This window comes from Homo sapiens, chromosome 2 (assembly GCF_000001405.40).
Source record: "Homo sapiens chromosome 2, GRCh38.p14 Primary Assembly".
Lineage (NCBI taxonomy): Eukaryota > Metazoa > Chordata > Mammalia > Primates > Hominidae > Homo > Homo sapiens.
Window position 1 is genome coordinate 100,711,673 of NC_000002.12, and position 25,928 is coordinate 100,737,600.

General features: G+C 41.9%; 1 long non-coding RNA gene across 1 annotated transcript, besides 1 other annotated feature; it reads right to left on the reverse strand.

Annotated features, from left to right (window-relative positions):
- Nucleotides 1-8,208: 8,208 nt before the first annotated feature.
- LOC105375310 (uncharacterized) lies at nucleotides 8,209-22,186 on the reverse strand. Its single transcript, XR_001739612.2, has 3 exons — nucleotides 19,772-22,186; nucleotides 9,685-12,684; nucleotides 8,209-9,548 (listed from the first exon to the last, which is right to left on the reverse strand). It is a non-coding gene; the product is annotated as an uncharacterized LOC105375310 (long non-coding RNA).
- Nucleotides 18,675-18,969: a silencer, noted in NCBI's record as "tiled region #3478; K562 Repressive non-DNase unmatched - State 13:Ctcf". NCBI's record gives its function as "represses a minimal TATA promoter and a strong SV40 promoter by Sharpr-MPRA in K562 cells {active_cell/tissue: K562}" and the evidence as "EXISTENCE:reporter gene assay evidence [ECO:0000049][PMID:27701403]".
- Nucleotides 22,187-25,928: the final 3,742 nt, after the last annotated feature.

A 25,928-nucleotide genomic window follows, 5' to 3' on the forward strand; every position in this document is an offset into this window, starting at 1 on the left:
TCATGAATGTTTCACTGACCTTCGTAAAGAAGGTAAACTTTCCATTTTCAGGATATAGATTTTTGACATATATCAACCAGATCAATGTTCTTACTTTCTACTTATTTCTGTTATTTGATCTGACATGAATTAATAGCTTTGAAAAGTTTTCTACTACAAGTGTGTTTCTATTTCTCCTCATATCCTCTGTAATTTCTGCCTTATGAATATTGATGCTATGTGCTTTTGCACACAGACGCTTATTAGCTATTTCATCTTTTCTGTGCGTTGTGTCTTTTAGCATTAGAATGCTCCCTTGTTTGTCTCATTTAATGTTCTTTGGCCCTGAATTTCTTCCTCTTTGAAGGCAAACTGGCGACACTTGCTAGCTTTTGGTTTGCGCTTGCCTGGTGCGATGGTTAATACTGAGTGTCAACCTGACTGGATTGAAGGATGCAATATTGATCCTAGGTGTGTCTGTGAGGGTGCTGGCAAAGGAGATTAACATTTGAGTCAGTGGGCTGGGAAGGCAGGCCCACCCTTAATCAGGTGGGCACCATCTAATCAGCTGCTAGAGAGTATAAACCAGACGGAAAAACGTGAAGAAGAGAGACGGGCCTAGCCTTTCAGCCTACATCTTTTTCCCATGCTGGATGCTTCCTGCCCTTGAAGATTGGATTCCAAGTTCTTCAGTTTTGGGACTCGGACTGGCTCCTCTTGCTCCTCAGCTTGCAGACAGCCTATTGTGGCCTTGTGATTGTGTAAGTTAATATTTAATAAACATATATTATATATTATATATACATAATAAAATATATAATATATATAACAAAAATATATATATATATATATATTATATATATCCTATTAGTTCTGTCCCTCCAGGAGAACCCTGACTAATAAAGATTTTGGTACCAGGTAGTGGTTCTAGAGAAACAGAATATTACGGGTGGAGTTCTTTCATTGGTTTTGGGGTTTCTGGAGTTGGCTGCTTAATATGATTAAACACAAAAATGCTAAGGACTCTACTTCTAATAGTATGGAGAACACTGATAGTCCTTGGTGGAAACTGTTTAGAGAATTACACAAAATAAATGCATTTGACACTCCTGATTCACTGCTCATGAGAGTTTAGTGACACTTCACATAATACCTTCGGCCATATGTGGAGACCCAAGGAACATAATGAAGCTGGTTGATTGCTCCTAAGTTCAGTGGACAAAGTGATGACAGAAAATGGTGAACTCAGGGATTCTGTCTCCTGGCTTCAGAAGCAGATACTGACCCTCAAATCTGCTAAGATTGCCCTGAGTGAGAGTCTTGTCTCCTGTAGAGAAAGAGCTGAAATTGTGGAAAAACAGACACAAGCTCTTACCATGCGAGTGGCTGACCTGCAACAAAAGGTTCATGCACAGCCTCGCCAGCTGTCTACTGTTAAAGTGAGAGCATTGATTGGAAAAGAATGGGACCCTGCAACTTGGAATAGGGGCATGTGGGAGGACCCTGATGTTTGTAAACTCTGATGAACCTTTTTTGCCAGAAGGAACAGCTTCCCTATCCCCAGTAGTGGCAACATCCCCTCTCTAACCCATGCTGCCATCAGCCTTTCCACTTTTGTCTGAGGAGATAAACCCTGAGCTGCCTGAGGCAATAGTGACAGCCTCCCCTGAGGCAGTGGCCAGGTAAAATAATGTTGATTCTCCTCAGGAGCCAACCCCAACACCCCTTTTTGCTTCTAGGTAACTGCGTGGGGGAAAGGGAAATGATCAGACATTTGGGGGACTACTGGACACAGGCTCTGAGCTGACGTTGATTCCAGGGGACCCAAAACATAATTGTGATCCTCCAGTTAAAGGAAGGGCTTATAGAGGTCAGGTAATTAATGGAATTTTAGCTCAGGTCCAACTTACAGTGGGTCCAGTGGGTCCCTGGACTCATCCTGTGGTCATTTCCCCAGTGTCAGAATGCATAATTGGCATAGATAGCAGCTGGCAGAGCCCCCACATTGGCTCCGTGACTGGTAGGGTGAGGGCTATTATGGTGAAAGGTCAAATGGAAGCCATTAGAGCTGCCTCTACCTAGAAAAAATAGTAAATCAAAAACAATATCACATCCCTGGAGGGATTGCGGAGATTAGCGGCACCATCAAGGATTGAAGTATGCAGGCTGGTGATTCCCACCACATCCCCTTTCAACTCTCCCGTTTGGCCTGTGCAGAAGACAGATGGATCTTGTAGAATGACAGTGGATTATCATAAGCTTAACCAAGTGGTGACTCCTATATCAGTTGCTGTACCAGATGTGGTTTCATTGCTTGAGCAAATTAACATATCTGGTACCTGGTATGCAGTCATTGACTTGGCAAATGCCTTTTTCTCCATTCCTGTCCATAAGGCCCACCAGAAGCAATTTGCCTTTAGCTGTCAAGACCAGCAATATACCTTTACTGTCCTACTTTAGGGATATATTAACTCTTTGGCTTTGTGTCATAATCTTATCTGAGAGACTTTGATCGCTTCTCTCTTCCATGAGATATCACACTGGTCCGTTACATTGATGATATTATGCTGATTGGATCCAGTGAGCAAGAAGTAGTAAATACACTGGACTTATTGGTGAGACATTTGCATGACAGAGCATGGGAAATAAATCTGACTAAAATTAAAGTAACTTCTACGTCAGGAAAATGTCTGGGGGTCCAATGGTGTGGGGCCTGTAGAGATATTCCTTCTAAGGTAAAGGATAAGTTGCTGCGTTTGGTCCCTCCTACAACCAAGAAAGAGGCACATGCCTAGTGGGTCTATTTGGATTTTGGAGGCAACACGTTCCTCATTTGGGTGCCTTACTCTGGCGCATTTATTGAGTGACCCAAAAGCCTGCCAGTTTTGAGTGGGGTCCAGAACAGAAGAAGGCTCTGCAACAGTTCCAGGCTGTTGTGCAAGCTGCTCTGCCACTTGGGCCATATGACCCAGCAGATCCAAAGGTGCTTGAAATGTCAGTGGCAGATAGGGATAGATCTTGGAGAATGACAGTGGATTATCATAAGCTTAATCAAGTGGTGACTCCAATTTCAGCTGCTGTACCAGATGTGGTTTCATTGCTTGAGCAAATTAACACATCTGGTACCTGGTATGCAGCCACTGACTTGGCCTTCGGAGCCTTTGGCAGGCTCCCATAAGTGAATCACAGTGGAGGCCTGTAGGATTTTGGAGCAAGGCCCTACCATCTTCTGAAAATAACTACTCTCCTTTTGACAGACAGCTCTTGGCCTGTTACTGGGCTTTGGTGGAAACTGAATGTTTGACTATGGGTCATCAAGTCACCATGCGACCTGAACTGTCTATCATGCACTGGATGTTTTCTGACCCATCTGGTCATAAAGTGGGTCATGCACAGCAGCATTCCATCATCAAATGGAAGTGGTATATATGTGATCGGGCTCGAGCCGGTCCTGAAGGCACAAGTAAGTTACATGAGGAAGTGGCTCAAGTGCCCATGGTCTCTACTCCTGCCACCTGCCTTCTCTCCCCTAGCCTGCACCGATGGCCTCATGGGGAGTTCCCTGTGATCAGTTGACAGAGGAAGGGAAGACTAGGCCCTGGTTCAGAGATGGTTCTACATGATATGCAGGCACCACCCGGAAGTGGACAGCTGCAGGACTACAGCCCTTTCTAGGACATCCCTGAAGGACAGCGGTGGAGGGAACTTCCCAGTGGGCAGAACTTCGAGCAGTGCACCTGGTTATGCACTTTGCATGGAAGGAGAAATGGCCAGATGTCTGATTATATACTGATTCATGGGCTGCAGCCAATGGTTTGGCTGGATGGTCAGGGACTTGGAAGAAGCATGATTGGAAAATGTGTGACAAAGAAATCTAGGGAAGAAGTATGTGGATGGACCTCTCTGAGAGGTCAAAAACTGTGAAGATATTTGTATCCCATGTGAGTGCTCACCAATGGGTGACCTCAGCAGAGGGGGATTTTAACAATCAAGTGGATAGGATGACCTGTTCTGTGGACACCACTCAGCCTCTTTCCCCAGCCACTTCTGTCATCACCCAATGGGACCATGAACAAAGTGGCCATGGTGGCAGGGATGGAGGTTACGCATGGGCTCAGCAACATGGACTTTCACTCACCAAGGCTGACCTGGCTATGGCCACTGCTGAGTGCCCAATTTGCCAGCAGCAGAGACCAACACTGAGCCCTTGATATGGCACCATTCCTCAGGGTGATCAGCCAGCTACTTGGTGGCAGGTTCATTACACTGGACTTATTCCATCATGGAAAGGGCAGACGCTTGTCCTCACTGGAATAGACACATACTCTGGACATGGGTTTGCCTATCCTGCATGCAATCTTTCTGCCAAGACTACCATCTGTGGACTCACAGAATGCCTTATCCACCGTCATGGTATTCCACACAGCATTGCCTCTGACCAAAGCACTCTCTTCATGGCTAAAGAAGTGCGGCAGTGTGCTCATGCTCATGGAATTCACTGTACCATGTTCCCCATCATCCTGAAGCAGCTGGATTGATAGAACGGTGGAATGGCCTTCTGAAGTCACAATTACAATGCCAACTAGGTGACAATACTTTGCAGGCCTGGGGCAAAGTTCTCCAGAAGGCCACGTACGCTCTGAATCAGTGTCCAAAATATAGTACTGTTTCTCCCATAGCCAGGATTCATGGGTCCAGGAATCAAGGAGTGGACTTGGAAGTGGCACCACTCACTATCAGCCCCATTCTTGTTCCCACGACATTACATTCTACTGGCCTAGAGGTCTTAGTTCCAGAGGGAGGAATGCTGCCACCAGGAGAAACAACAACGATCCCATTAAACTGGAAGTTAAGATTGACACCTGGCCACTTTGGGATCCTTCTACCTTTAAGTCAACAGGCTAAGAAGGGAGTTATAGTGTTGGTTGGGGTGATTGACCTGGAATATCAAGACAAAATCAGTCTACTACTCCACAATGGAGGTAAAGAAGAGTAAAAATGGAATATAGGAGATCGATTAGGCAGTCTCTTAGTATTACCATGCCCCATGATTAAGGTCAATGGGAAACTACTACATCCCAATCCAGGCAGGACTACAAATGACTCAGATCCTTCAGGAATGAAGGTTTGGGTCACTCCACCAGGAAAAAAAAATACGTCCTGCTGAGATGCTTGCTGAAGGCAAAGGGAATACAGAATGGGTAGTAGAAGGAGGTAGTCATCAATACCAGCTATGACCATGTGACCAGCTGCAGAAATAAAGACTGTAATTGTCATGAGTATTTCCTCCTTCTTTTATTAAAAATATATTTGTACATGTATACACTTGTACTAAGAAAATATCTTTGTTTTATTTCCTTTTCCTTTATCATGTGACATAAGATTTATTGACTTCATATCAGCATTTAAGTATTGTTAACTTTATGTAATAGTACTTGGTTGGGGATTGGTGTGTTTCCAGTTGTATGAAGGATAGTTGTATTACGTTAGGTATAATTATGACCTTATTATTGTCTTTATTTGAAGATTATGTATGATCTCAGGAGATGTGTATGGGTTCAAGTTGACAAGGGGTGGACTTGTGATAGTTAATACTGAGTGTCAACTTGATTGGATTGAAGGATGCAATATTGATCCTGGGTATTTCTGTGAGGGTGTTGCTAAAGGAGATTAACATTTAAGTCAGTGGGCTGGGGAAGGCAGACCCACTCTTAATCAGGTGGACACCATCTAATCAACCACCAGTGAATATAAACCAGGCAGAAAAATATGAAGAGGTGAGACAGGCCTAGCCTCCCAGCCTACGTCTTTCCCTTGTGCTGGATGCTTCCTGCCCTGAAATATCAGACTCCAAGTTCTTTAGCTTTGGGACCCAGACTGGCTCTTGTTGCTCCTCAGCTTACAGACAGCTTATTGTGGGACCTTGTGATCATGTAAGTCAATACTTAATAAACTCATACATATATATATATCCTATTAGTTCTGTCTCTCTAAGATAACACTAATACACCTGGTACACATTTGTTCATTCTTATCATTTCCAATCTTTTATGGTTCACTTGTTTTAGATATGTTTCCTTTAAACAGCATAGAATTGGATGTTGCTTTATGATACAATGTGAAAATCATTTACCTTAATGAATGAATCCAAGGGGGAAAATCACGAACTGTGTTTCCCCTGCTCTTACACCTACAACAATCAACACACAAGACTTCTGTGACCAGATGTGTTAGGGGAGGGGTTCCCCACAACCAAGCAAGCAATCCATTCTGCCACAGGCACCAGCTGGGTGTCCTCAAATTCAATTCTAACACCATCTACCTGGAGGTAGCATCAGATCCCCCAGGTTGAGGGCTCAGTCTGCAAGACTGACCCCCACTTCCAATGCCAATTGCAAGCCCCGGGTTTTTCGTGTGCTTCTGACTGAGTGGCTACAAATAGGAGATTTGACTAATTTACTAGAGCGGCTCTCAGAACTCAGGGAAACACTTATGTTTACCAGTTTATTATAAAGAATATGACAAAGAATACAGATGAAGAGATGCATAGGGCAAGGTATGGGGGAAGGGGCGTGGAGTTTCCCTGCCTTCCTGTGCTGTACCACCCTGTAGGAACCTCCAAGCATCTAGCTATCCGGAAGCTCTCTGAACCTTGTCCTCTTGGGCCTTTTATGGAGCCTTCATTGGATAAGCTTGATTGATAACCATGTAGAAATGTAACTGGACAAAAAGGGCATGATCTAATGCTAATAGACTGAGTGGGGAAACCTGGCAAGGACTGTCTGTTCAGATTCTTCCTGGCCTCTTTGTGTGACACTCCTTCCTCCAGGGTGCAGGGCAGGATCATGTCTGAAATGGAGATCTGATGTCCCACAATGAGATAAGGTAGGTCAGAGAATTGCCAAGACAGAAAGGCAGGGGAAGATTAGAGTCCTGCCTTGGGGAGGGAAAGGAGCAGGTGAAAGGAGAGCAAGGGATGGCCAGAGAGAGAGAGAGATTCTGTTTTCTGAGGCTGGCCCAAGGGCCCCAATATTATAACAAGGGCTATGGGAGTTATAAGCCAGGAACCATGGATAAAAACCTATATAGATATCATAATATCACAGTGAGTTAATAAAAATATATATAGATATATACATATCATCGTATCACAATGAGTTAATGTCATTTATATTTATTGACATGACAGGTGAGTTGATCTTTGATCTGTTGTTGTTGTTTTTGTTGTTGTTCTCTGAATACAATTATTTAAAGTCTTTCAACATAAGGTCAGTTTGCTTTTTTGGGAGTGGGCAAAGAGAAAAGAGAGAAGAGAGGAGAGGCGACGAAAGGAGAAAAGGCCACAGGAGACGAGAAGTGAATTAAGTTCTGGTATTTAGAAGGATTTTTAATGTGGTTTCATTATTTCTTTGTAATCATATTGTCATATAAAACTCTGGTCATCTGCTTCATAAACAGCATTAGGCCATAATAAAATAAGTGTGTATTTTCTTCCCTTTCTCCTATCTCTCCCTCCACTTCCTGACTCAATTCAATAATATTATCTTTGTTAATTTTTACTTTGGACTCTTAAATACATTTTTAACAAAAACACTGTTTGTTTCTTTGGCTTTAAATTATTTCTTTTGTCTCCCTGAGTTTATCCAAGAAGCAATTACTTTACTTCCTGCCATCTTTACCCCTTTCCCATCCCAATTTGTGTTAGTTGTGTTATTTCTACATTGCCAGGGCTTATAAGATTTACATCCCATTATGTTACACTAATCCCCACATTATATTTAGTCTTAGATCTGAACTTAAGTATAATCAATACTTACAGTCAGACTTGTGGTTAAAGCTTCCATAGTAGACTCTCAATTGGCTGACGTTCATTTTCTGGTCATTTCCTTAAGAAGGTTCACAAGAACTATACTTTCTAAGCTCTTGTATGTTCAAAACATTCTGCTATAGCCTTTGTAATTGTTGAACAGCTTGGATGATATAAAATTCTTGGTTTGCACTTTCCTTAAATATCTTCTAAATGTTTCTCTATCCTCTTCTAATGTTAAATGCTGTTTTGATGAAGTCTGAGTTCAACTCGACTTTTTTTTTCCCTGTATGTGACTTAGTATTTTGTGCTTTACTGCCTAAAGGATACTTTCTTTAAATCCAATAACTTGACTAGATTGCATCTCAGGTGGAGACTGTTTTAAATCAGGTTTCCCTGGGAAGTAGTGTGAACATCCGATATGCAGATTCAAGTCTTGCTTTATTTTAGGAAATGTTTTGAATTGTATTTTAAAACGTTTTTTACATCCTATTGTTTTGGCTTCTTCAGAGACTCTAGTTTTGCACGTGTGGCTTTCCTTCACCTCCCTGTTATTGCGATCACTTTCTCTCTAATCTTAACTCCCTGTCTCTACGACATCAGATTTGCATTCCACACTCCCATCCTGTGCTTCTCTTACAGAGCCTTTTGCAGTGACTTCGCCCCCTTATTATCCTCTGCTTCTTTCCTGAGTCTTCTAGCTCCATCTCATCACTTCCCATCAGCTTTTCATCTTCTATTTGAGTTCCTGCATTTGTGCTTTGTGGTTTTCCATTAGAGATCAAATTGCCTTGTCAAGGTGCTTTGTTTCTAATTCATGGTGGAATGTTTCATCATAATTTTCACCTCTTCCAGCCCACATTTTACGGGTGCATGTTCTTCGGTTGATGTGATTTGCTGCTCTTTGTGTCTTATAGAATGTTTGTATTGAGGTTATTCCATCTTCTTTTAAATTATTCATGGAGTGTACTGGTTGAACTTCCCTAGATCAGCTTTTTGCAAGATGTTCTAACCAGGGGTGGGGCAAGGACAGTCTTCCAGAATTCTTCATCTCACAGGACCTCTTTCTCTTTGTTTTCACAGAGACAGACTTCTTCCTGAAAATATGGTATTATCCTTTATAGAGCTCTGCCTCCTCAGCTTCTCTGAATCATACTGGGTCCCTGAGGGCTTTTGCTGCAGGGACCTCTAGCTCCTTCCCAGGAAATGCAAACAAGGGGCCGGTGTGTGCCTCATCCTTGGGAAGTGTAGTTCTGCTTGTGCTCTCAAAGTTCCGCTGCCGCCCTAGATGCTGCTCCTCTTCCTGTGAGCTTGCAGCTCTTTGCAGCCCTTACCCATGTTTTGGAGTCTATAGATTATATCTGTCTCTAAGTTTCAATGCAAATGAAACTCTCTGAAGCTGCATGTGATTTCCATGAGGAAAAGGAAGCACCACTTCCATGCTCATTTCCAAGTCTGATGATTCGGGGGAATTGATGCTGAGTTCCAAGCCATCCTTCCCAAGGCTTTTGACCAGGTGCAGCCAAGGTACTCTTCCTCCACCACTTTCCTTCCTTCTCTCTGGGCCCTGCATCGCTGCTCCAGCAGGTAATGTGGTAATATACAATAATGGTAATATACAATATACCACATACAATATAATATAATATACAATATAATAATGGTAATATACAATATACCACATCACAGTAGTGATGCAGTAATATACAGTAATGTGGTAATATACAAGAGGGAAGAGGAGGTCAGTGAGCATACGTAGGAGCTGTAGGAAAGAACAGAATTCATGTGCCATCAAAAAGCATTCAGCATCAACTAAGGGGAAAATATGCACACACACACACACACACACACACCCATCCACTCCCCCACACACATTACATAGGACAAATAGAACATACCTGGAGGACACTGGTAGACCACTTCTGGTCTATATCATCTCTAGGGTCCTTCTCTGCCATCTTGTGTTAAGGATCCACCATCACCATCCGTGTTAAAATTTCATCTTAATTGGGAGGCCATTAGGTGATGGTGGCTTTGTTCTTTAAATTTCTTCATAAGCAAGCACAAACTCTAGGTAAACAGCAAACGAACCTGGACACTTTTCCAGTCAGAAACCCTCAATGAATCTCTAACCAGGGACTTTCCATTCTAGCGAATTGAATCTATTTTCTTTGTATCCCTTCCGCTCCAGCCTATAAAGGCCCAGTGCCCACACTGCTCAGCAGAACTCCCAGAACCTCCTCTGGTTCTGAGTGCTGCCTGATTTGTCAATTGTCCTTTGCTCCAGTAAGCCCTATTAAGTTTATTTGGTCTAAAGGTTTTCTTTTAACACCTATCATGACTGCATGTTATCTTGGCGGCTTCTCCACTCCCCACCAGCCCTGAGGCTATCCTTGATGCTGATTTCCTCTGCATCACCATGCGTTTATAGAGCAACACTGTTCTCCACCTGAACCCCAGAACTCTAGATTTGGCCCTGTTCCAGTCTGAGCTGTTTGCCTTAGGCAGTTTCCTTCTTAACACCCAAGTCCTTAACCCGAAGCAGCTCTGTGCAGGCGGGAGCTGGCCTGGGCTCATGCACCACACTACGGGGGCTCTAGTTGCTTCCAGAGTGAAATTTTGGCCACAGTAACTTCTCAGGTCCATGCCTACGTACAGAGTGTGGGGATATTAGGGTAGGGCAGCCCTGCCTGGAGCAAGACAAGCTGGGTGACCTGAAAGGAGGAGACAGAGGGATGCTGATGTGGCAGGACAGCCAGAGTGGGCCTAAAAGAGACGCTGAAGACAGGTCCTCAAGAGGAGACATGGCCCTGCATGCCACCTGGGGCTGCATGGAGATTCCTAGGCTGCTGTAGGCTCCCAGCTGCTCTGGAATGGAGTCGGGATGTTGTTGGAGAACAGCCTGGCAGGGGTGGGGGCCAAGCGGTCTGGACACCTACCAGAAATAAACAGACTGCAATGAAACAGATCAAGAATCCCTTCCAATTAGGACAGTTGTGTAGATTTAAAAAAAATTCTTTTTTTTTTCCTGAAATAGGAAAGGGAACAAAATGCAAAAATCTGTTCTTTTCTTCCAAAAGACTTTAAGTAGCAAATAAGCAAGGTGTCAGGACTGGGAAAGCCTTCTGTCTAGGCTCTGAGTAAATGAACTTGCCTTTTGGTATAGAGCTTGAGTTAAAATTAAAAAGATACATATGCATATCTTGCAACAAGAATGATTCTACATGCAACGCCTTAAAAAGAAATCTGAACATTTTTCTGAGTAGGGCAAGCGAAGAGAACAGACAACCATCCCTCCTCCAGAAATCCATCAACAGCCCCTCTGCTTCCACAGCTGATGAAATTTCTCAGAGCAGCTTCCCAAGTGTCCTCGTGGTCTGAAAACAGAGCAGAGGTCTTCACTGGGCTCTTCTGGATAAAGGCACTTACAGTACCCTAGTAACAAAGACACCATCCATGTAAAGGACCGCCCCGCCCACCTCCACGTCTGCCCCCAACTCCAGTGGAGTCTTCAAAGTCTGCAGAAATATCTGCAGTCCTTATACCAATTATCTGTGTTACCCCGTTCTTATGTAAATTTCAATCCAGTTTTAAATTCAAATTTAGATTACGTATTTTGAAGACCTAGAATAGTGCCTGGCTCATGGTTGACACTCAATGTGTCTAACTTCTCTCTCTCTCCTAATTTCAACTGTAATTGACTCTTTGAAAACCTGACCCCAAATAGTTTAATGTATTTCCCATATAGTCACAGATGCAGCCCAGCAGAGGGCTGCCAGCAACCTTAGGAAGGGCTTATTGAAGCATTAGGATGACACCCCAAATCTTTACCTCTACTAGAAAAACAGCTGTGTCAAGTTTAGTCTAGGAATGTTGGCAGGTATTAGAAACAGCCTGAGCAATGCAGATTTGGGAATTTTTAGGGTGAACTTATTTCAGAGGGTGAGCTGGTTAGAAAGTTGCCAGGGAGGGAAGTTGTCTGCCCATAACCCTGGGGTAAGTCATTGAGACTGGACCACACCATGTGTTTTTTACTTCCATATAGTTACTTGTTTCATGACCTCCAAACTGTCATTCATGGCTTCTCCAAATAGACCACTTCAGCTTCACTGTAGGTAACTAGGGTCTGAACTGACTTAGCCCAGGTAAGGGAGGTACTGTGCACTGTCATACACAGAGGCAAGGAAGAAGGGGGTGCTCCCAGGACCATATGTGTAGAGCATATTTCCTTGTTCCTAAGCATGGCCATGGAATTGGATTTCCCCCCTGAATTTAGCAATGCAGTCAGGCCCCAAAGAAATCTGAGACCATCTGATTAACCCAAGGACACGCAGGGACATATTGTGTAGCTTCTGTCCTCAGCAGCCCCCTCCGTGCTCCCACATTACTCCCCTGAGCAAGGCAGCTTCCTCCTTTGGGTACCTGCATTTTTGCCAGTAGAAATGCCCACCAGGAATCATGAGCACTGGACATCTGCCCTGCCTGCTTCTGCCCTCTTAGAAGTACAGTTTGGATCACTTGCACTTTTCCAGCAAATTACTCTTCCTTCCCTGACACCATCCTCACTGCTTCCTTGCTACTTGAGTGGAAGCAGCCCATGGGATGGAGTCCAGCTGAAACCTTTGGTAGACAATGGGAAACTCCACAAGTTGTTTCCCATCCAGGTGTGAAAAAAAGCAGAGACAAACATTTTCCCTGCCCAAGCCACTCCAATAGCTGGTGCAACCCCTTGGGAGTGGTGTTAGTGCATTCTTGGAGTTTTGTCTGGGAGCTGGGTGGGAAGCATTTACAATTTTTTTGTGATGTGCCCATTTCAGGGAGGTCTGCCAGTAATGCTCAGAGGACTGGATGAAGGTTGACCCTTTGGTATTTGCTTGAAGTCTCATTCAATCTACCACCTTAAAATAAAATGTTCTTAGTTCAGAATCTATAAAAGGGATTTTTAAGGGATTTCAGCACATTTCAGGGATATTATTAGACTAAAAGCAAGAGCTATGGTTTGCAGAAGCCACACTGTATGGATGATGCAGTTATTATTTCCATTATTAAAACCCCACTCAGTGCTGTCATAGGGAGACCACTCAAGCCTTGCTGAAAGGGGGATACAAGTTAAATTCAGTGCTCTAAGCCACAGCATCTAAACTTTTGTATCCGAGGCCCCTTCTTTACTATTAATGTATAAATCTCATACTGTTCCCATCCCGCCCTCAAATTCTGCAAGTCACCCAGCTAAAAATCGCTATATACTTTGCATATTTCCTTTACCCCAAAAAAAACTTCTGTTGAATGTTACTTTGGGTAGTTTGTACTATAAAAACTAATAGCTTTTTTAAAACTTTGTAATGGTAAATGCCTACACAATGTTGAATATGCTGTTTGCACTACACTTGGCTTCTTAAGTGTCTCTGATTGGGGATGAAGTCCAAGGGTAGACCCCACCTGCTAGATGATCACTGCTCAAGTGCTTACTGTTTTATTGTTAGGTTGGTAGATGAATAAGCCTAGACCACCTCCACATTTTGCAGGGAGCAAATCTCCTTGCAAGGGCAGGGAGGTGGCCAGGCTCAAAATGGGGAAGTAGCCATGACAGCACCATCCAGAAATTTCTGGACCATTGGAATTGGGAAAATCAGCAACAAAATGGATGTATTAGAACACATGGCAGGAGGAGGGGATGTGTCACCATGGCCAATGGGCCACTGTAGCCTGACCCATTTCTCCTTGCTGCCTGACTTTTGATTTCGGGATGAAAGATGAGAAAACATGGCCAGTTATAATATTAACCTTTTAGTAGCAATGTTTTCATGGTCATTATTCTCATTGACATTTGCAGGAATCAGTTGTTGCTGCATGACCAACCATCTCAAAGCTCAATTGCTTAAAACAATTCCATTTCCCATTGCTCACAGTCTGCAGATCAGCCGGGCAGTCCTTCTGGACTCAGTGGGGGCTTGTGCCACCAGCTGTGGCGCTGCAGGTGGCTCTCTTGATCTGGGCTGTGCTTCCTTGTTTTGTGGGGGTTTGGCTCCTCTATGGCTATAAACTTCCAAAATGCTTGTGACTGGGCCAGCTGGGTTCTCCCTCAGGAGCTTCTTACCCACAGCAGGCCAGCCCAGGCCTGTTCACAGGACAGTGCCAGGGGCCCAAGACAGTGGAGCACTGCAGGACCTCTGTGGGCCTCCACTTTTCCTGCATCTGATTGGCCAAAGCTAGTCACAAAGCAGACCAAATTCAAGAGGAAAAGGAACAGACTACCTTCTGATGCCAGGCCCAGCAATGTCACATTGCAAACATGGATGCAAGGATGGAACAGTGAAAAAATTTGAGACATTTCCCATTCACTCTACCACAACATTCTTCTGTTCCAAAGAGTAAATGACCTAAAACACAATTTTCCCCTGGGACTCAATAAAGGTATTTATATTTTAATTTTTTTAAAAGGTGGCTTATTTTGACCCAGCAATCCCATATACTGGATATACACCCTAAGGAATATAAATCATTTTACTATAAAGACACATGCACATGTATGTTTATTGCAGCACTATTTATAATAGCGAAGACATGGAATCAACACAAATACCCATCAATGATAGACTGGATAAAGAAAATGTGGTACATATATACCACAGAATACTATGCAGCCATAAAAAGGATGAGTTCATGTCCTTTGCAAGGATATGGATGAACCTGGAAGCCATCATCCTCAGCAAAGTAACATAGGAACAGAAAACCAAACACCACATATTCTCACTCATAAATGTGAATTGAACAGTGAGAACACATGCACACAGGGAGGGGGACAACACACACTGGAGCCTGTCAGGGGATGTGGAGTGAGAGGAAGGAGAGCATCAGGACAAATAGCTAATGCATGTGGGGCTTAAAATTCAGATGACAGGTTGATAGGTACAGCAAACCACCATGGCACATGTATACCTATGTAACAAACCTGCACATTCTGCACATGTATCCCAGAACTTAAAGTAAAATAAAAATACAATTAAAAAGGTGGCTTATGCGTGGACAATTGTTCACTGCTCTATTAGAACTAGAACTGGAGTTTCATCATCTCAGTGAGTGGAATAATATAAACACGAATGATTAGGTCAAAATAAAGCATTCAAACCAGCAGTCACCTGGAAGCACTTGTTAAAATGCAGATTCATGGCCCCAGACAATCTAATTCAATAAAGACCAGGATAAGACCCTGGAATCTGCATGATAACAAGCACCTCAGGAGGAATGATGCAGGTGATCCTGGAAACCTTATCTGAGAAACACTGGTCTAAATTTACTCAGACACAGGTTAAGTGGAAATATTTCAAAAAATGGGAATGTGGGGGAGAACATCTTAAAAACTGCTGGCCTGGGGGTCTCATACTTAAGCTTAAATTGATGTATTTTATTAGTTGCTGGCTCCCAGCTTAGTCCTGAGAATATGTTTTCCATCCCTTCAAGAACATGGAATGACAAGAGAGGAGGAAGGGATAAAGAATGAGAAGGAAGAAGAATATTTCTGTTTTTCTCTCTCTACAGGTAGATTCCTTGTACTTTCATGCTAATGAACCCAAGTAAGGCTGTCTGGATGCTGAAGGCTCTCACTGCCCCGGAGTCAGCCCAGAACCATGAAGGCAGGCTGTGGCTGGCAGAAAGGACTGCCACTCCCTCTCAATACACCCTGCTTATTTCTCATTAACTGGATCTGAAGGCAGCCAAAATATCGATTAACTTAGGGGTTAATTTGTGTGGTTCTGATTAGTCAAGATTTTCTTGATTGAATACAAAAGGCTTTCATTTTAAAAAATCAAAAATTATAAATTTTAAAGAATATTTAGTGCAAATTAAGAACAGACTTTCTTTTTTTACTCTAAGTTCTAGGATACATGTGCAGGATGTGCAGGTTTGTTACACAGGTAAACATGTGCCATTGTTGTTTGCTGCACCTATCACCCATCACCTAGGGATTAAGTCCAGCATGCATTAGCTATCTTTCTTGATGCTCTCCCTCCCCCAACAGGATCCAGTGTGTGTTGTTCCCCCCAGTGTGTACCTGTGTTCTCATTGTTCACCTCCCACTTATAAGTGAGAACATGCAGTGTTTAGTTTTCTGTTCCTGTGTGAGTTTGCTGAGCACGATGGCTTCCAGCTCCATTCATATCCCTGCAAAGGACATGATCTCATTCCTTTTTATGGTTGCACAGTATTCCGTGGTGTATATGTACCACATTTTCTTTATCCAGTCTATCATTGATGAGCATTTGGGTTAATTCTATGTCTTTGTTATTGTGACTAGTGCTGCAACGAACATACACATGCATGTATTTTTATAATAGAATGATTTATATTCCTTTGGGTATATACCTAGTAATGTGATTGCTGGGTCAAATGATATTTCTGTTCTAGATCCTTGAGGAATCACCACACCGTCTTCCACAATGGTTGAACTAATTTACATTCCCACCAATAATGTAAAAGCATTCCTGTTTCTCCACAGCCTCGCCAGCATCTGTTTTTTCTTGACTTTTTAATAATTCCCATTCTGACTGGTGTGAAATGGTATCTCATTGTGGTTTTGATTTGCATTTCTCTAATGATCAGTGATGAGCTTTTTTTCATATGTTGGTTGGCTGCATGAATGTCTTCTTTTGAGAAGTGTCTAGAACAGACTTTCTTATAAAAACCAATGCAGCATGCTTTCTTGTGAAATGTAACAAGAAATATTTAAAAAATAAAACTAACCATAGATCCCACAGCCACTGAAATGACAATAAAGAAATACTGTGAATAACTCCACATACATAAGTTCAACAACTTAGATGGAATGGATCAATTCCTTAAAAACCACGAACTACCCAAACTCACTCAAAATGAGACAGATAACCTGAATAGTACTAATTTATAGTTTAAAAATTTTACAAACGAAATCTCCAAGCCAAGATGGTTTCACTGGCAACTTCTACCACACATATAAGAAATAACACTAAATATGCACAATCTCTTCCAGAAAAGAGGAGGGAATATATCCCGCCTAATTTTATGAGCCCATTTTTACCCTGATATCAAAACCAGACAAAGACAGTATAAAAATTAAATCTACAAACTAATATCTCTCATCAATTTATTTACTTATTTATTATTTATTTATTTGACAAGGCCTCGCTCTGTCACCCAGCCTGGAATGTAGTGGCATGATCACAGCTCACTGCAGCCTCCACCTCCCAGGCTCAGGTGATCCTCCCACCTTAGCCTCCCAAGTAGCTGGGACTGTAGGCATGCACCACCCCTGGCTAATTTTTGTCTTTTTGGTAGAGATGAGGTTTTGTCATGTTGCCCAGGCTGTTTCTCATGAATCTAAATGTCAAAATATTCAACAAAATATTAACAAATGGAATCCAGCAATATATAAAAGAACTTATACACCACAACCAAGTAAGATTTATTCTAGTTACGCAAGATTGCTTCATCATTCAAAAAATCATTCAAAGTTATCCACTGTGTCAATAAGCTAAGGAGAAATATCATATGATAATGTAAATTGACACAGAAAAAATATTTGACAAACTACAACACTACCTCATGATAAAAATTATCTGCAAGTTAGGAATAGAGGGAATCACTTCAACCTGATAAAGAGCATCAACAAAAACCTGCATCTAATATCATACTTAATGGGGAAAAACTGAATACTTTGCCCCTAAGGTCAGGAACAAAGCCAGGGAAGGATGTCCACTATCACCACAGTATACGTCATAACACTAGAACTTCTAGACTCTGCAATAACGCATGAAAAATAAATAAAATACATACAGATTGGAAGGAAGACATAAAACTTTCCCTATTTGCAGTTTACACAATTGTCTATATAGAAAACCCAAGAAGTCTACCAAAAGCTCCTTTAAGGAATCAGTGAGTGTATTAGTCCACTAGCGCTACATAACACAATACTGCAGACTGAGGGGCTTAAACCGAAGAAATTTATTTTCTCACACTTCTATAAGCTAGAAGTCCAAGAGCAAGGTGCTAGCAAGTTGATTTCTGGTGAGTCCTCTCTCCTTTGCTTGCAGATCACTGCCTTCTTGCTTACATGATGTTTTCTCTACACTTGCATTCCTGGTATCTTCTCCTCTTCTTATAAGGACACTAGTCCTATTGGATTGGAGACCCACCATTATGACCTCATTTAACCTTAATTACATCCTTAAAACCCCTATCTCCAAATACAGTTAACTGGCTTCAATATGTAAATTTTTGGGGAAAACATAATACTGAGTTTAAACACATTCTAGAATATAAGGTCAATACAAAAAATCATGTATATTTATAAAGATAGTAATAAACAATCAGAAACAAACAAAAAATGATAAGAGCTCCCCCCCAAAAAGAGATACGTATAAATAATTTTAACAAAACATACATAGAATCTATGTGCTGAAAACACTAAAATGCTGATGAAATAACTCAAAGAAGACCTCAATATATGGAGAAACATACTATGTTCATGGATTGGCAGACTCAACAAGAAAAAGGACAATTTTACCCAAATCAATCTATGCTTTTGATGTAATGTCAATCAAAACTCTAGCAGAATTTTTTGCAGATATTTGACAAGCTGATTTTGAAATTCATATAAAAGGCAATGAAACTAGCATAGCCAAAAGAAAATTGGCTTTGGAAGAATCCCACTATCTAATTTTAAGACTTATAAGAATCAAGACAGTGTGGTATTGGCAGAGGGAGAGACACATAGATCAACAGAACAGAATAGAAAGTACAGAAATAGACACAAATCAATCTTGTTTGTCAAATGTGCAAAGGAAATTCAATGAAGAAATGATAGTGTTTTCAACAAATTGTGTTGGCATTTATACACACAAAAACATGAACCTCAACCCTGCAGCTAGTTGTAACCATGTAACTAGGTTTTGGGCAGTGGGATATAAGTAATTACTTAAAGATGAAGCTGTTGAGATTCTCCTAATCCTCCAGCCCCTCTCCTGGAGGTGGTGCTGGCGAGCTACTTTCAACCACGAAGTTGAGAACAACTGGAGCAGGAGCCTTAACCCAAAGAACAGCCACATGTTGAAGGCAGACATGCTGGGCCAGTTGGAAACCTTGATGACCTTATGAAGCAGAGCTCACCTTTCTGCCCTGGACTGTTTACCTGAGGCAAAAATAATCTTTGAACTCACGTAGGCTAATGCACTTGGGGATCTTTGTTATAATGAATATACATATGCATTGCAGAAAAATATAAAGGGTAAAATAAAAGTCATTCAGGGTCTCACTACCCAAGAGAGACATACTTTGATCTCACCTTGGCCCTTTCAATATGCTGCTAGGGTAAACTTCCGAAAAAAAAAAAAAGTTGGCTGGGCACGGTGGCTCACGCCTGTAATCCCAGCACTTTGGGAGGCCGAGGCGGGTGGATCACCTGAGGTTGGGAGTTCGAGACCAGCCAGACCAACATGGAGAAACCCCATCTCTACTAAAAATACAAAAATTAGCCAGGCGCGGTGGTGCATGCCTGTAATCCCAGCTACTTGGAAGGCTGAGACAGGAGAATCGCTTGAACCTGGGAGGCGGAGGTTGCAGTGAGCCGAGATTGCGCCATTGCACTCCAACCTGGGCAACAAGAGTGAAACTCTGTCTCAAAAAAAAAAAAAAAAAAAGTTAATAAGCTTGTCTAGCATTGCAGTAGATATCCTGAAGAACCTTGGATTTGGGGAGTAAGGTATAGGAATCTATTTCCTTTTCAGCCCTTAGATTGCAATAACTCTCCCTGGAGATTGTGCCACTAACATGACTACTCAGTGCCAGAGTCAACCAGATTGTGACTGGCTGACAGACAAGCAGCCAGTCCTTGCTAAATACATGTCCCTGCACCATACCCAGCAAGAGGAATGAGTATAATATAATAGTTAGGATCGTGGTCTTTGCAGTTGAAAAGTCATGGGTTCAAGTCCTAGCTTTGCTTCTTCCTACCTGTGTAACCTTGGGCAGGTGTGTAAACTTGTCTGAATTTCAATTTCCGCTTCTCTAAAATGAGAACAGATAGTAGCACCTCCCTCTTAAGCTTGTTGTGAGAATTAAACATGATGATACATGTGAAGTGATATAGAGCCTGGCACATAATACATACTCCATAAATGGGTGCTATTGCATCATCCATTCATGCATCATGTGTAAATTAAGTGTCTACTATATGCCTGGCACCTTTCTAGGCAATGGCAACATAGCAGTGAGTGACACAATAAAGATCTTTGCTCTCATGAATCTTACTTTCTACTTGAGGAGAAGGACTATAAACGCAATGTTTAAATAACAGTAGATCTGATGCAATTAAGACGGATAGAGAGTGACTTATTGTTAGTCATAACAATAGCTTTGTCCTGTGTGAGGATGGTTGGATTCAGTTGCCTCCCTCAGTCCTGCCAGGATTCATGTAGACAGCTGGGCAGGGCTGGTGTGGGCAGGGAGGACATGAGTGGACACTACACAGAATTCGTACAGTCAACAACTTTGTGAGCCATGGCAGGTGTCCCACTGTGAAACATGGCTGAAACCTTCACCTGCCAGACCCCTGGGATCACAGGGCAAGAGGAGGAGCCTAGGTTTCCAAGGACACAGGCATGAGGCAGAAGTCTGGAGTACACTAACAAGGTTTCAGATTTGCTGGGCCCTCCCATAAGAGCCCAACTGGCCCCATTTGGGGACCAGTAGCAAACAGAGTTAATTTTTCTTAACTAGTGGATGACAGGGTGTTTCGATTCAGAACGAATTTCTCAATCCATACATCAAGAACTCAACAGCAGTTCTCAACCCTGCTTTTCTTCAGAATCACTTTTAAATCTATGAAAACGACATCACCCAAACCGTCATATCCCAGAAAGTCTGATTAGTGCAGCTCAGGGATGGAAACTGGGCATTCTTGCAATGCAATGTTCCAAGGTGATTTAATGTGCGCTCAATGTTTGGAACCACTGATTTCACCCTTAAACCAAATCACAAAGCACTTCGTGCCCCCAGACAGTCATGGTCCAAATGCTGCACCATGGTAGGGTCAGCCTGCAATCTCCCTCCGCAGAGTTTGGAGAAGGGTGGCCACAGTAAAGGATTAGAAACATTCCCATGGGAGAAGCAGGCTTGTTCCCACCGACTTCCTCAGTCATGCCGTCTTTCTAGTGAGCGTTCTTCCTCCTCTCCGTGGCCTCTCCAAGGTTCAACCAATCTTCAGTCTCTCTACATCCAAATCCTCTTCTGGGGCAATAGCAGCCCACAAGGCCTCTGCTTTCTTTGAAATCTGGCCCCTCTTAATAGTAACAGGGCTTTCCAGTTTATAAAGTACCATGGCATTTATTTTGGCATTTAACTTTCCAAGCACCCTATTAAACAGATAAAATTATTTTACAAAGGGAGAGGCCACAACTTTAGAATACTAAGTGATTCACAAACCCTCCTTAGCCCATAACTGGCAGGTCTGGGACCTACGTCTCCGTTTTCCAAAGTGTTCTCAATTTCTCCCCAACCTGGCCAGTTCTCTTACGAAGTGTCCCAGCACCTGACCATTTAACTTCCATAAGCGTCAAGATTGTCAGTTTAACCTTTCTAAATGCTCGATCACAAAAATCACATTGTTTGCCTCTTCTGTCACTCATCGTGTTAATTCGTTCATTATAGTACCCATTTAAATGAATTTATTAAATATAAATTATTCACCTAGTGTCAGCTGAAAATGATGTTATCTACCAAAAAAAAAAAAAAATCAAAACGTATTTTCTGGAAAAGAGACTGACTACACAAAGCAATGCACACTTTTCTAACTTTAGTTCGAAATCCTAAATTCAGAGAGTTGACAACAACATGAGCCAGGGTGAGCTGACCTTTCCCGGTTGCTTTGCTGCAAGCACAGGATTGTGAGGGTTTGGGGTCACGAGGGTTTGGGTACTGTCATATTTTTAACAGGGCCCTTCATGGAATTGAGTCTTTCCACACATAAGCTCCTGCACTGGCATTCATTTAGTATAGGTGCTAAAAGGTCTCAGAAGAGCAGCAAAGCACTTTCTCTGGAAGGTCACTGGCCCCGTCACTTTAACATTCCCTTGCAGAAAAATTATAAATGAGTCATCGAGGACACTGAATCACGTGGAAGAGACTTTCAAATAATTTGCACATTGAATAAAAAGACACTGCCTTTACCTCATCCCCAGGATGAATTCTTGGGGCCCATCACTTTAAAGTGCCTTGATAGAAATTATCAGAACTCAATTCATTAGGCAATTGTTAATTTCATTCAAATCCGAAGGTCAGTGGCACAATAGGGCTTGGCATAGGTTCCTATGCTTCTTTCACGTGGCTCAGATTTCCTCATCATTCACAGCAGTTAGAGAAGCAGCTCTGTTGCAAGGAGGGAACGGGGTGGGGGTGAGGCGGGGGGAACTGCCAGCTGTGGCATTGTGTGGACCAGGAGATATTTCCAATTAGGCGAGAGTGGGAGGTTGCCTCATGAGAGATAGGAAGATGACTACTCCCTTGCACTACAAAAGGGAAGAGAATTTGACTCTCTAGGGAGAGTTTGCAGTTGAGAAATGGCTGCATTTCCACTCAGTTGCCTGAAAGGACTCCTTGCAGCAGGTCAGCATACAGAACTTCTCTTCCCTGCCGCTGAGCTGAGGCTGAGCTGAAGCTGAGCATGGTGAGATCACAGGGGACGCTGCAGTTCCCAGAGCCCCCCGGCTGCTGCCTATCTCTGTACCTTTGCAGAGTCTCTCCCCCTGTCCTGGATGGGACCAACGGCGGATTAGACACTGCAGAAGAAAAGAGGTGTGAACCCAAAGGTGAAGACGTAGCAAAAAAAGAAACAAGACAAAACAAAAAACTATCCAAAATGTAGAATAGAAAGAGAAAAAAAACTTTAAAAATGAACAAAATATCAGTGACTTGTGAGACAAATCAGGCAGTCTAATATATTCACAATTGGAATTCCAAAAAAAGGGGAAGATGTAGAGGGGAAAATACAAGAAGAAATAATTTTTTCCAAATTTTGCAAAAACTATAAATCTTGAGATCCATGAAGATCACCAAGCCCAGGAGGATAAACACAAAGAACACGACACCAGGTGAACGTCATAATCAAATTCCTGAAACCGAGTCCTGGAAAGATTATCTTCCGGACAACCAGGCAAAAATGACACTACACACAAAGAAACAAAGACAGGAATCACAGTAAATGCCTAGTAAGAAATTATTAAGAACACAAGAGATTGGAACAAAGTATTTTAAGATGACAAAAAAGAGTCACCCTAGAATTATATACCCGGTAAATATCTTCTAAATGAAAAAAAAAAATTGGAGACTTTCAGACAAAAAAAAAAAAAAGCTAATTCTTCATCAGCAGCCCTGCACCATGAGAAGTGGTAAATAAAGTCCTTCAAGGTGAAGGAAAATGATACCAGATGGGAACTTGGATCTACACAAAGAAGCGAGAAGCAACAGAAAATTTAAATATGTGATAAATAAAAATACTCTAGACTGGACACCATGGCTCATGCCTGTAATCCCAGCACTTTGGGAGGCCAAGGAAGGAGGATTCCTCTAGCCCAGGGGTTCAAGACCAGTCTGGGCAACATAGGGAGATCCAATCTCTATAAAAAATAAAAATAAAAATACTTTTTTCTTATTATAATTTTTAAAAATTCCTTAAAAGGTAATTGTTTAAAGTAAAAATAACAATATATTGTGAGGTTTATAACATAAGTGGAATTAAATACATAATAATAACACAAAAGATGTCGGGAAGGGAAGTATATTATAAGGTCCTTATATGTGAGGAGGTATAATATCTCCTTTTTTTTTTTTTTGAGACAGGCTCTCGCTATGTCACCCAGGCTGGAGTGCAATGGCGCAATGACAGCTCACTGCAGCCTCAAACTCTGGAGCTCAAGAGATCCTCCCACCTTGGCCTCCCAAAGCACTTACAGGTGTAAGCCACCATGCCTGGCCGATATGATATTAATTAAAGGTAGACTTTATAATTAAAGAAGAATATGATAAATCCTAGAACAACCACAAAACAAAATGAAAGATATAGCTAATAAGCCAATGGTAAAATAAAGAAATAAATTCAATACAAAATCAGGAGGGAAAGAGAAAAAACGAATAAAGAAGAGATGAAAAATATTTTTAAAAATTAAAAACAAATAACAAGATGGTAAAATTAATCCCAAATCACATCAATAATTACATTAAATATAGTCAACCTATTCTGTCTAGTACACAAACCACTAGCCACGTGGGGCTATTGAAATTAAGTTAAGGCTGGGTGCAATGGCTCATGTCTGTAATCCCAGCATTTTGGGAGGCCAAAGCAGACAGATAGCTTGAGCCCAGGAGTTCAAGACCAGCCTGGGTGCGATGGTGGAACCCAGGCTCTACAAAAAAATTTAAAATATTAGCTGGGCACGGTGGCGTGCGCCTGTAATCCCAGCTACGCTTGAGCCTGGGTTGGTGAGGCTGCAATGAGTCAAGATCGCACCACTGCATTGCAGCCTGTGTGACAGAGTGAGACTCTGTCAAAAAAAAAAAAAAAAAGAAAAAAAGAAATTAACTTAAACTTTAATAAAATCAATTTAGTTCCTCGGTCACTGTGGCCATATTTCAAGTGCTCAGTAGCCATCTGGTTAGTGGGTAGCACATTAGACGGAACATTTATAACATTTTCATTATCACAGAAAGGTCTATTGAAAAGGGTTAGTCTAAGCACTCCAATTAAAAGCAAAGATTATAAGACTGAGTGAAAAAGCAAGAACTATTATTCAAGGGAACACACACACACACACAGAGAGAGAGAGAGAGATCAAAAGTTAAAGAATATAGAAAAGCTATACCATGCCAACACTATTCATAACAAAGCTGGAGTAGTTCTATTCATGTCAGACAAAGACATTCTTCAGACTTCCAAACAAGGCATAAACCAAAGACAAAGAGGAATATTTCAAAAACGATAAACAGATCAATTTAGCAAGAATACTTAACAACACTAAAAATGTTTGTACCCAATAGCAGAGATTCAAAACCCATGAAACACTGCACAGGATTTTCCTTCCTGCATGAAACAACATAAAACACTAGACAAAATACGTGAAACAATGGCTTTTGAGACATCGGATCAGGCAACAAAGGACAACAATCCCTGAGAGACAGGAAACCAGTGAGGTGAGGCCTATAATTGCCTGTCTTATTGCCTGAAGAGGGTCTCCAGGCCCTGGTGCAGGGATGGGGCACACAGCTAGAACCTAGTGGATTCCCTGAGTGGAAGAGATGGAGCTGATGGCCCAGGGAGAGGACAGAGGCGAGAGATTACAGGGCAGACTGCCAGAGAGGAGAGAGCTGCAGAGAGGACTCTGGAGGTCTGCAGGCTCCTCATCAACTACTGATAGAGCACTGGTCAGTGAAATGGGTGAGGCTAGAGAAGGAACCGCCCAAAAAGATGAGGGGGAACATTACCTGGAGCTCACACCAGGACAGAAATGGTGTTTATTCTAACCAGCCGGACATGAAAACCTCATATGAGAGAGGTGATGGAGAGAACACTTGGAAGGGTCTTGCCTATAGAGTGGGTAAAAACTAGCCCTAAAATGGTTTCACAGGGCTGGACATATGTCAAAATGTATCAGTATACACTTAAATATGCACAATTTATGGTGTCATTATAGCTCAATAAAGCCAAAAGATAAGAAAATACATGAACAACTTTATGCCAATAAATTCAACAACCATAAATAAAATGGAAAAATTCCTTGAAAAACACAAGTACCAAAATTGTCTCAAGAAAAAAAATAGACAGTCGAATAATTCTATGTCTATGTAAGCAATTGAATTCATAATTACAACATTCTCACAAAGAAAATCACAAGCACAGATGACTTTACTGGCAGATTTTCTGAAAGACTTAAAGAAGAAACACCATTCCTACTCAAACCCTTTCAGAAATTGGGGGAAGGAACATGTCCCAATTAATTCATGGAATCAGCCTTCTTACTTTGATACCAAAACGAGACAAAGACATTGTAAGAAAAGGAAATTACAGACAAATACCCCTCATGAACATAGATTCAAAAATTCTAAGAGAATTTTAGAAAAT